At 37.1% G+C, this 13,186-nt stretch overlaps 1 protein-coding gene across 31 annotated transcripts in view; it reads left to right on the top strand.

Moving 5' to 3' along the window:
- COP1 (COP1 E3 ubiquitin ligase) overlaps window positions 1-13,186 on the top strand; it is a 262,456-nt gene that overhangs the window by 126,665 nt on the left and 122,605 nt on the right. The window lies entirely within an intron of this gene.

Raw genomic sequence — 13,186 nt, 5'->3', positions numbered from 1 at the left:
GCCTTATTATTCTCTTAATATCTTTGGATTGTATGATGATTTTCCCTCTTTCATGCCTGATAGTGGATTTTGTTTCTTCTTACCTTTTTCCTGAAGAGTCTAGCTTAGAAGATTATCAGTTTTATTGATCTTCCCAGAGAGCCAGCTCTTGGTTTTACTGATAGGCTGTATTTTTTTGTTTTCTGTTATCATTAATCTTTGCTCTTAATTATTTTTATTCTTCTACTTTTTGAGGGTTTAATTTGCTCTTATCTGCTAATTTCTTAAGATAAAAATTGAGGTCCTTTAGTTGATACCTTCTTTTCTAATATAGTTATTTTGTGCTACACATTTCCCTCTAAGTACTGTATTAGCCACATCACAAAAAAAACTGATGTGATACTTTTCCATTTTAATATAGTTCAAAGTACTATTTTAGCTTTCTTTTTATTTTTTAGGAAGTTTGTTTTTTTAAAATTGACAGATAAAATTGTGTTTATTGCATACAGCGTGTTTTGAAGTATATATCAAAATACCTTTTAATTTCCATTTTGATTTTTCTCTTCGACCCATGATTACTGAGGCTGTTACTAGTTTCCAGATATTGGGATTTTTCCAGTTATCTTTCTGTTACTGATTTTTTTTTTTTAAGAGACAGGGTCTCATTATGCTGCCTAGGCGATCCTCAGACTCCTAGGCTCATGCAGTCCTCATGCCTCAGCTTCCCGAGTAGCTGGGACTACAACTGCACCCAGCTTGCTTTATATTATTTTTGTCATTATTTGAAATGTTTAATGAAAATTTATACAGGAAAATGGAGAGAATGGACTAATTCCTCACATAACCATCACCCACATTCAGCAGTGGTTAAGATTTTGCTGTACGAGTTTTATGTATCCTCTTCATTTTGATTATTTTTTGCTTAAGTATTTTATTACTTTTTTCCATGTTCCCTGACCACTTTTATTTTTTTATTATTTTTAATACCTTGAACCTTTTTTTTTTAATTATAGATTAAAGGGTACATAAGCAGGTTTGTTACATGGGTATATTGCACGACACTGAGGCTTGGGGTCCTAACATTTCCGTCACCCAGACAGTGAGCATAGGTACACAACAAGTGTTTTATAAGCCCACGACCCCTGCCCTCTCCCACCTCCCCATCTAGTTGTCCCCGGTATGTGTTGTTCCCATGTTTACATTCATGTGTCTTCAGTGTTTAGCTCCCACTTACAAGTGAGAATATACATTATTTGGTTTTCTGTTCTTGCATTAATTCACTTAGGATAATGGCCTCTAGCTTCACTCATGTTGCTGCAGAGGACATGGTTTTATTATTTTTTAAGGCTATGTTGTATTCCATGTGCCACATTTTCTTTATCCAGTCCACCATTGATGGCCACCAAGATTGATTACATGTCTTCGTTACTGTGAATAGCTCTGCAGTGAACATACCAGTGCATGTGTCTTTATGGAAGAACAACTTACTTTCTTTTGTGCGTATACCTACTAATGGGATTGCTGGGTCAAATGGTAGTTTTGTTGTAACTTACATGACAAATCTCCAAACTGCTTTCCATAGTGGTTGATCTAGTTTGCATTCCTAGCAACAGCATGTAAGCATTCCCTTTTCTTCACAGCCTTGCCAGTATCTGTTATTTTTTGACTTTTTAATAATTGCCATTCTGCTATGAGATGGTATCTCATCCTGGTTTTGATTTTTATTTCTCTGATGATTAGTGATGCTGAGTGTTTTTTCATATGCTTGTTGGCGACTTGTATGTCTTCTTTTGAGAAGTGTCTGTGTCTTCTCATTTTTTATTGGATTTTTTTGTTTTTCACAGGTTGATTTTTTTTTAAGTTTCTTGTAGATTTTAGAGATTAGGCCTTTGTCAGATGCATAGTTTGCAAATACTTTCACCCATTCCCTAGGCTGTCTGTTTACTCTGTTGGCAATTTCTTCTGCTATGCAGAAGCTCTTTAATTTAATTAGGTCCCACTTGTCAATTTTTGTTTTTTTTTTTGCAATTGCTTTTGAAGACTTAGCCATAAATTATTTGCCAAAGCCTGTGTCATGAAGGATATTTCCTAGCTTTCCTTCTAGGATTTTTATAGTTTGAGGTCTTAGACTTAAGTTTTGATTGATCTTGAGTTATTGTATATGGTGAAAAGTAGTGGTCCAGTTTTATTCTTCTGCACATGGCTAGCTAGTTATCCAAGCACCATTGATTGAATAGGGAGTCCTTTCCCCATTGCTTGTTTTTGTTGATTTTGTCAAAGATCAGATGGTGTAGGTTTACAGCTTTATGCCTGGGTTCTGTATTCTATTCCATTGGTCTTATGTCTGTTTTTGTACCTACCAGTGCCATACTGTTTTGGTTATTGTAGCCTGATAGTATAAATTGAAGTTGGGTAGTGTGATGCCTCCAGGTATGTTCATTTTGCTTAGGACTGCTTTGGCCATTCAAGCTCTTTTTTTGTTCCATGTGAATTTTAGAATAGTTTTTTTCTAATTCTGTGAAAAATGACGTTGGTATTTTAAGGATAACATTGGATCTGTAAATTGCTTTGAACAATATTGCCATTTTAGCAATATCGATTCTTCCAAATCATGCTTATGGAAGGATTTTCCATTTATTTGTGTCATCTTCGATTTCTTTCAGCAGGGCTTTGTGTTCTCATTGTAGAGATTTTTCACCTCCTTGCTTAGATGAGTTCCTAGTTATTTTCTTTGTGGCTATTGTAAATAAGATTGTGTTTTTTATTTCTTTCTCAGCTAGAATGTTATTAGTATATGGAAATGCTACCAAGTTTTGTACATCGATTTTGTATTCTGAAACTTTGCTGAATTTGTCTATCAGTTCCAGGAGCCTTTTGGCAGAGTCTTTAGGGTTTTCTGTGTATAGAATCATACTGTCAGTGAAGAGAGATAATTTGACTTAATCTTTTCCTATTTGGATGCCATTTATTTCTTACTATTGACAGATTGCTCTGGTTAGGACCTTCAGTATAATGTTGAATAGGAGTGGTGAAAGTGGGCATCCTTGTCTTGTTTTAATTGTCAAAGGGAATGGTTTCAGCTTTTGCCCATTCACTATTAAGTTGGCTGTGGGTTTGTCATAGATGACTCTTACTATTTTGGGTTATGTTCTTTTGATTCCTAGTCTGTTAAGGGTTGTTATCATGACGGGATGTTGGATTTTATCAAAGACTTTTTCTGCATCTGTTGAGATGATCATATGTTTTTTGTTTTTTATTCTATTTATGTGGTAAATCACATTTATTGATTTGCATATTTTGAATCAAGCCTTGCATTGCAGGAATAAAGCATACTTGATTGTGGCAAATTAACTTTTGATGTGCTCCTGGATTCAGCTTACAAGTATTTTGTAAGCTGAACAAATACAGAGTATTTTGTCGAGGATTTTTGTATCTGTGTTTATGAGGGATATTTGCCCAAAGTTTTCTTTTATCATTGTGTCTCTGCCAGATTTTGGTATCAGGATGATGCTGGATTCATAGAATAAATTAGGGAGAAGCCCCTCCTTGATTTTTTGGAAGTTTCAGCAGGATTGGTATCAATTCTTTGTACCTCTATTAGAACTTGTCTGTGAATCATCTGGTCCAGGGCTCTTTTTGGTTGGTAGTTTTTTGTTTTGTTTTGTTTAAATTACTGATTCAATTTCTGAACTTGTTACTGGTCAGTTCAGATTTTCACTTTCTTATTGTTTGAATCTTGGGAGGTTGTGTGTTTCCAAGAATTTATCCATTTCCTCTAGATTTTCTAGTCTGTGCATAGAGATGTTCATAATAATCTCTGAGAATCTTTTGTATTTCTGTGGTATTGGTTGTAACGTCATCTTTGTCATTTCTGATTGCACTTATTTTGATCTTCTCTTTTTTTTTCTTTGTTAATCTTGTTAGTGGTTTATCAGTCTTGCTTATTCTTTTGAAGAACCAACTCTTGGTCTTATTTATCTTTTGTATGGACTTTTGGGTCTCAATTTCATTCAGCTCTTCTCTGATTTTAGTTTTTTCTTCTACTAGCTTTGGGATTAGATTGTTCTTTTTCTTCTAGTTCCTCTACATGTGATGTAAGGTCATTAATTTGAGATCTTCCTAACCTCTTGATGAAGGCATTTTTAGTGCTATAAATTTTCCTCTCTACACTGCTTTAGCTGCATCCAAAGATTTTGGTAAATTGTATCTCTATTTTCATTAATTTCAAAGAATTTTGTTATTCCTGCCTTAATTTCTTTGTTCATCCAAGAGTTATTCAGAAGCAAATTGTTTAATTTTAATGTTTTTGTGTAGTTTTGAGAGATCTTCTTGATATTGATTTCTATGTTTATTCACTGTGGTCCAAGAGTTATGCTTGGTGTGATTATGATTTTTTTTTAATTTATTGAGACTTGCTTTATGGCCAAGCATGTGGTCTATCTTAAAACATGTTCCATGTACAGATGAGGAGTTTGTATATTCTGTGGTTGTTGGGTGTAGTACTCTGTGTCAATGTGTATCCAGTTGGTCAAGTGTAGAGTTTAAGTCCAGAATTTCGTTAGTGTTCTGCCTCCATGATCTGTCTAATGGTGTGAGTGGGGTATTGAAGTCCCCTACTATTTTTTTTTTTTTTTTTTTTGAGATGGAGTTTTGCGCTTGTTACCCAGGCTGGAGTGCAATGGCATGATCTTGGCTCACTGCAACCTCCACCTCCCAGGTTCAAGCGATTTTCCTGCCTCAGCCTCTTCAGTAGCTGGGATTACAGGTGCCCACCACCATGCCTGGCTAATTTTTGTATTTTTAGTAGAGACTAGGTTTCATTATGTTGGCCAGGCTGGTCTCGAACTCCTGACCTCTTGATCCACCTGCCTCGGCCTCCCAAACTACTGGTATTACAGGCATGAGCCACCGCACCCAGCCTGAGGTCCCCCACTATTATTGTGTGGCTAAGTCTTCTTGTAAGCCGAGAATAACTTGTTTTATGAATCTGGGTGCTCCAGTGTTGGGTGTGTATATGCTTAAGTATTTTAAAGCAAATCTCAGAAACTTATCTGCATCTCTTAAAATGGACATTGTTAAACCACAGGGCTGTATCACATCTAAGCAAATTAACAGTAATTCCTTGGTATAATCAAATTGCTACTTTGTGTTCAAATCTCTTAGAACGAATAACCCTAAAAAGATGTTTTTTGAGGCATATCGGGAATTTGGTAAGTTTTAACGTGTCAAATATTGCTAAAACTTAACATGCTTTTCATTTACAGGACTAAGATTTGAATTTATTATGTATATGAAGATCTTAAAATTTAAGCCATTAGCTAAAGAAACTATTGGAGGAGATCTTTTATTGTATTCTGTCAGCTGTTTAACTCAGTAATGAGTAAGACAAAAATCATACATTCCTTTATTTTTCTGTATGTTGGCACTTGACTGAGTAAAATTTGAAAATGCAGCAGATTATGGGGTGCATTTTATTACATAATTTAATTAACAAAAAATCATTGATAACGTAGTGCAGGCTAGGCCAGACTAGGCATATAGTCATGAACAGGCCAGACGTGTTACTTGGATTCAGGAGAGCTCACAATCTTATTTTAGGGCCCTTATAGATAAGAAATAAAAGAATAGTTTATGAAACAGTTTACTTTGGAGCAACATATTAGCATTCTTACTTAAATTCTTAACTATGTTAAGAATGTATACTATGCTTTTAAGGACTTCAGAAATGTAGATTGAATGTGAAATGGCAAAAATAAGTATCAAAGTTTATTTATAATATTGACCTGATATGTATGCACTTACCTGTAGTTATGTGACTATACAAAGAGTAATAATCTTTTTTTTTTTTTTTCATTCCTGAAAGCCATTTTAGCTTGATTTTGGGGAAGAGATGGTTTCATTATTGCTTTTTTAAAGCTTGATTTAATGTAGTGTTGAATTTTTTACAATTGCTAATAAACCCTAATCATACTGACATTTATGTGAAAACATTGTGCATTCTGAGGCAGAAATACATTCTTAGGAAGACCTAAACAAGATCTTAGTTTGGAAATACTTACAAATTGTGGTTAGATTAAAACATTTAGACTAATATAAGAAATTTTTAAGATACCTCTGGTTGGGCCGTCTTGCATGCTACATTCGTTTTTTTTCTATTAATTACACCAAATTAATGTTTTTTAAAGAAAAAATTCCAATTTTAAAGTTTCTTAGGCATGAGAGATGAAGACTAGCAAGAAAGGATGATATGGCCAAAGAAATGAAGGTGTGAAAAACTCTCACAGCTCTGTTGATTTTTTGCTTTTCTTACTTTCTTATATTCAAACACATCATTGATAATAAATTTACTTCAACGCCTTCTAATTCCTCCCAAAAAAGGAAATTTAATTAATTTCTTTCAGAAAGAGGAATAAAGAGGCCAGGTGAGGTGGCTCACACCTGTAATCCCAGCACTTTGCGGGGCCGAGGCAGGCAGATCACTTGAGGCCAGGAGTTCCAGACCAGCCTGGCCAGCATGGTGAATCTCCATCTCTACTAAAAATACAAAAATTAGCCAGGCATGGTGGCGTATGCCTGTAATCCCAGCTACTTGGGATGCTGAGACAGGAGAATAGCTTGAACCTAAGGGGCAGAGGTTGCAGTGAGCTGAGATCACTGCACTGGGCAACAGAATGAGACTCTGTCTCAAACAAAGAGGCCTAAACAAGTATTTGAGAAGGCAGATAATGTTGAATTTGGTGCATTATTTTGTTACTTTGTAGAAGAGATAATTATTCTTACTGTAAAATTGCATGACATAATGTTGGTCACTTACTGCAGTGATAATCTGAGAGAAAAGGCCGAACCAGAAACGTATTTTTCTTCCTTTGCTTATTTGGAGTTAAGACCATACCCTTCAGTCCACAAGGTGGCAGCATTTGTTTACTTTGACAGTATCTCGACTATTAAACAATAGACAAGGTACGGAATTGGTGACATACAGTGAAGTTCACTCTCATAAGTAGAAGATGGTCCTAGGTTAGCAATGGCAAGGAACAGGAAAGAAGACAGTTAATTGCATTCTTTTTACACACAGCAATAATAGCATATTTTGCATTTTTTATTCTATTAGGTGTTCAGTGTCCACCAGAGAGAAATAGTTTGAAACTGTATAGTTTAAACTTAATATACTTAGTAGTGATGGTTGTCTTTTGAATTCCGAGTTTGAATTTTGTACAACTAGATTGTTATGGTAAAAATTGTTAAACATTCTACCTCTAGAGAGTTTTTCAATATTTTTACTTATGTTTGTTCAAACTGTTGGAATGGAGTTGTATCAAGCATTAGTAAATTCCTAAGAAGAAAATAGTTATCTATGGTGGCATTCATTGATGCTAGAATAGTCTCTGTACTGGTAATGTGGAGTGTGTTACCTACTCATTTTTAGACAACATCATAAATATTTTACATCAATTCCCTAATTCATTTAATCCTTGTATCAACCCTGGGTAGCAAGATATTGCTATTAACCTCATTTTACAGATGAAAAAAACTGAGATAGAAATTTTGTAACTTGTCCAAGATAAACCTAATGCCAATAATAGACAGAACTGAGATTTGGATACAGGCGTACCTGAATTCTAGTGCTCTTCTATTCACTTAAGGATTTATTGAAACTTTGTAAAGTTTCAGAAAACACTTTTCCTTTGAGACACCCAGAAGAAAAAGAGGAATTAATTCTTTTGAGGTTCTGACACTGTGTATCCCTATTCCTATAAGGAGGTCAAAATAATGAATATTTTTTATACTAATTTTTGACGTATAATTCTGCACCTTAGATGTCACTTTACCATAGTTTGAAACTATTCAAATTAAACTTTATGTTTCTATGATAGTTACAAGGATCATTTTTGCTAAGTTTCAATTTATAATTGCAGCAAATGTGGATCCAGATTGAGGGTAACTTTTAATATGTTCCTTATTGTAGAGTGCTTGTGAGCTTTAAATTTATACTTAAAAAGACATCTCTAGATAATTATTGACTTGTTTTCTAAGGAATGGATATGATTTTTAAGACTGCCAATGTACTTTCCCTTTTTGTCAGAAGGTATTTCCATTATTGTCTTAAGCGTTATTGACCATCTGGGGTTGGTTGAGAAATGAGATGAATGGGAGTGCAGAGGGAGGGATTTCCTTCCCAAATTTTGCCTGGGATCAGTCTTTTAAAGCAGTTATTTTTAAAGCTGTGTTTTAGGCTGAGAGATTCATCTAGGCAGGGGCCTTACCTGTCTTATTTCTTGCATATTCCTATGTCTGTAAATATTTGTTAAATGAATGCATGAATGAATGAAAATTTGTTTTACCTGCTGGGAGAGGATCCAGAGTAAGTAGGACTCTAGCATTTGTCCATATATGTCCACATATTTGCTTGTTGAAAAATATTCCTTTGAAGAAATAATCCTTAGGCTATAAAAGAAGTTTGTGAATTACCAATGACATGTGACAGAAATATAAATTCATGTTAACAACTTAAAAAGGAATGCAAGATTGTCAGCAAGTGTTGGTGAGTTTTCTACTTCTATGGTAATTCAAAACATACATGATTCAAAATAAAGGTTAAAAAGGAAACACAAACAATCTAAGCTTAAACTTTGAAAGTCACTACATGTATTCCCACCCTCATAACTTCTACCCTAAAATTTTCTTCTTCTAATCTCGACTTGGTTTTCCTGTTTATTTTCCCTTGCCTTTATTAGAGGCTTGTCAGTAGTACAGAGTGAAGCCATAAGCTGAAATAATTTTACACATATCCACAAAACAAGCATTAATTAGGTTAGCATTTAAAATTTTAGTAGACTTGTGAAGGTTTGTCACAAACCAGTGTTTGGTATCCAAGAAATAAAAGTAGAACTTACGTCTAGAAGCCACATTTTAAGGTTAATATAAGGAAGATCTTTGTAGTCAGCAGTGTGCTGAGGTAGAATAACCTTCCTCAGGAGGCAGTTGCCATACATTCTTAAGACTTTTTAAAACCAAATTCTAGCCATTTTATTTAGAAAATCTTTCTGTGATCCTAAGATCAGTTATATATTCACGTATATTTGTCTAGAATATTTTTATGCTTAATTTTTTTCAAAATCATACCTATTCATGTCAAACAGTTTAAGTGCTGAGAGTGTAAGAGTGATGTACATGGTAGTGAGGACACAGACGGTTAAGCGAGTATACTAGGCTGTTCTCGCCTTGCTATAAAGAAATACCCGAGACTGGGTAATTTATAAAGAGAAGAGGTTTAATTGGTTTACGGTTCTGCAGGCTTTGCAGGAAACATGGTGCTGGCATCTGCTCAGTTTCTAGGGAGGCCTCATCATCATGGTGGAAGGTGAAGTGGGAGCAGGCAAGTCACATAGCTAAAGGAGGGGCAAGTGAGAGAGAGTGAGGGGGGAGGTACCACACATTTTTAAAATGACCAGATCTTGCGAGAATTCACTATCATGAAGATAGCACCAAGCCATGAGGGATTCATCTCCATGATTCAGTCACCTCCCATCAGGCCCTACCTCCAGCATTATGGATTACAAGTTCAATATGAGATTTGGGCAGGTACAAATATCCAAACTCTGTCAGTCAATATCTAGAATAAAGTGTTTTAAGTGCTTTGAAAGTATTTACAGTGTACAGTATGGAGAAGAATTGGACAGAAGCAGGAGTGGTTGCACATGGGAGCTCATGCCCATAATACCATTGCTTTGAGAGGCAGAGACAGGAGGATTGCTTGAGGCCAAGAGTTCAAAACCAGCCTGGGAAGCATAGCAAGACCTCATTTCTACAAAAATAAAAAAATCAAAAATTAGCCAGGCCTGTGGTGTGCACCTGTAGTCCTAATGAGGAGGGTGAGGTGGAAGGATCTCTTGAGCCCAGGAGCTCAAGGTTACAGTGAGCTATGATGGCACTACTACACTCCAGTCTGGATGACAGAGGTTTTTTTGTTTTATTTTTTTTGAAATGGAGTCTTGCTCTGTTGCTCAGGCTGGAGTGCAGTGGTGCGGTCTTGGCTCACTGCAACCTCTGCCTTCTGAGTTCAAGTGATTCTCCTGCCTCAGCCTCCCGAGTGGCTGGGATTACAGGCAAGTGCCACCACAGCCAGCTGATTTTTGTATTTTTAGTAGAGACGGGGTTTCGCCATGTTGGCCAGGCTGGTCTCGAACTCCTGACCTCAGGGATCCACCCACCTCGGCCTCCCAAAGTGCTGGGATTACAGGTGTTAGCCACCGTGCCTGGCTGGCAGAGTTTTTAATTTAAAAAAAAAAGTTAAAAAAAAAAAAAAAAGGCAGCACAAGTGGCAATAGGGAGATACAGTATGTAGGTTCTGGGAGGTCTGTGGGGCAAGGCAGAAGAAGTATTTAAGAATGTATAAGAACTAGGGTAGCCAGAACTTCGTGATTGATTTGATGTTGACCTTGAAGCAGAGGGAAATAACTTCTAAGGTTTTGGTTGGAGCAGCTGGGCAGGGAAAATATGGGTATCATTTACAGAGATGGGGATACTGGAGGAGGAGCTTGTTCAAGTAGCAACAGGGTTCGTGGGGGATATCTAACATTTGACATAAATTTTCTGGTTATACAGAGATGAGGTGAGGGCTGTGAATTTGGAAACTTTTGCAGCTAGTAATTGACACCATAGTTGTAGATATATAGAACACTGACTAACATTTGAAGACTTGGTAGCTACAGAGGAACTAGTAAAGCACACTGAGAAAATTGGAAAGGAGGATGAGAGAGTGTATTGCCATGCAATCCAAAGGGGAAAGGAGATAATCTGTTGGATTAGATCATGAGATCTTACAGATGGGATTGGATCTGAAGCAAAGTAAGACTTTTTGCCTTAATTAGAAGGGAGGCTGCTGCCTTCTGGGTAATATAAGGAAACAAGAAGAGAGTGGATGCAGAGGCAGGTACTTTTTTAGATTTGCTGGCAAGGTGTCAAAGGGTCCTTAAAGAGCTTATGCAGTAAGTAAGTGAGGGAGAACCCTCTGGGGATGGTGGTCAGGGAGAAGTGTTCACATCTTTGGCAAGAATACTTCTTCATCTTTGTACTTCTAGCACTGGATAGTTTACTTGATACCTAGTGGGTATTCCTGTTTACCTGATATACCTGAGGAATACTCGATTGGAGGATAAATAACTTAAATTCAAGGTAGAAAATAAATAGTAAATGCTTGTGGCAAGTCAATAAAATACTGTGGGAGTAGACTAAAGAGAGAGTTCTCTTGAGGTGATGGCTTCTAGTTTCCTGGACACATTTGAAATGCTGCTTTAAAGTTTTCTTTAATGAATTCCTAAGATTATTCTTTCTGTGCTTGATTTTAAAGATAGGATGCTGCACTAACATATTTACTTTTATTGCTTCATTATGTCCAAAACCACGTATTACTGTATTACATATAATTTCTTTTCTTCTTTTCTTTTTTTTTTCTCTTGAGATGAGGTCTCACCCTGTTGCTCAGGCTGGAGTGCAGTCGTGCAATCCTGATTTACTACAGCCTTGACCTCCTAGGCTCAAGTGATCCTCCCACCTCAGCCCCTGTGGCTAGGACTACAAGCACGTGCCACCACGCCTGGCTAATTTTTGTATTTTTTTGTGGAGACAGGATCTCACCATGTTGCCGAGGCCAGTCTCAAACTTCCAGCCCCCATTGATCCACCTGCCTTGGCCTCCCAAAGTATGGGGATTACAGTTTTGTAATTCCTTGCAGAAGTTTGTGGTGGAGGTAGTACTTGTTAAAGGCTGGGCTGTTGTTGTACTTAGCAAGTTTAAAGGGAAGGCATTTTGCATTTCCTCTGGATAAAACGTGGAAGAAAAATAAGAGAATGTAATTATTCACATATATTCAATTATATAGACTACTTCTAGAGAAGTCCTTTGTAAATCTTTAGAGTGCAACTAGTAATTTAAAACAGGAGTTAGAAGGATTGGTTTGAATGAATAAAGTTCATTCATTCAAGGTTTCATGTGGTTTGGAAAAAAATGTGCTTTTATCTCTTAGTTATCTAGCTTAACTGGAAATAGGCTCAATTAATCATATTTAAATAAGATGAAATGAGACCTTTGAAATTTTTCTGTGTTTTATATGGCATGTTGTAAATACTACGTAAATGTTAGTCGTTCTTACCCTTTCAGACTTACTAACCTGTTTTTAGGACAGTGCCTCATAATCATCTGGAGATCTTGTTGAAACACAGATTGATGGGCTCCACTCTCAGAGTTTCTAATCCTGTAGTCTGTGCTATGTGTAAGAATTTGCATTTCTAGCAATTTCCAGGTTTATAGTGATGCTGCTGGTCTGCAACCACACTTTGAGAACCATTGTCTTAGGTTAAGAGCTTTAAAAAGAAAGGAGGGAGGGAAGAAAGGAAGAAAGCAGGCAGGGAGAGAAGGAAGAAGGAAGGGGAAGGAAGGAAGACATTTCTAATAAGAAATATTTATATTTTTAATTCTTTAGGGAAAGATCATAATTACTTTTTGATAGACTTTATTTTATGGAGCAGTTTTAGGTTCACAGTACAGAGATTTCCCATATACCTCCTGTACCCGCACATGCATAGCATCACCCATTACCAACATTCCCCACCAGAGTGGTACATTTTGAAATGGGAAAAGTTCCCTTGTCCCCCTTGCAGGGTGTGCGATGGGGGTGTGGCTTGTTTCTTTGGTGCCCTGCTGCTCAGAGGAGTTGTGACCCTATGGGGAGGGGACAGACAGGCAGATCGTGGGAGCGTGGGCTCTGACCCCACAGCAGTGTCTGGGGGTAAACGTTTACAGCTCCTGAAGCCCCAGTGGGCATGTGTTATAGAATGCTGTTTTGGTTTTGCCATCTGTAGGTGGCTTGTGTTAGTCAACTCAGACCCTCTGCCTTATCACAAGGTCAGAGAGCTTTCTGTATCCTGGGGTTCTTGTCTTGGTGTACCAGAAAAATTGGATCTCACATGGGCTTGGAGAATGAGTGCAAGCTTTTGTATTGAGTGGTGGTAGCTGTTAGGGAGGTTGATGGAGAGGCCAGAAGGAGGATAGAGTGGGAAAGTGGGTTTCCCCTGGAGTCGGGCCGCTCAGTGGCCAGGCTCTCTTCCAACCGTCCCAGCCAAATTCTGCATCCTCCTGCTGGTTGATGGCCTGCCGGTGTCTGCTGGTGCCTGTCAGTGTGCTCTTGTACCGATGTGTTCCTCTGCAC

The sequence above is a fragment of the Homo sapiens genome, chromosome 1 (genome assembly GCF_000001405.40).
Source record: "Homo sapiens chromosome 1, GRCh38.p14 Primary Assembly".
NCBI lineage: Eukaryota > Metazoa > Chordata > Mammalia > Primates > Hominidae > Homo > Homo sapiens.
Note: the sequence above shows the minus strand (reverse complement) of the source record. Positions and strands in the feature narration are given on the sequence as shown.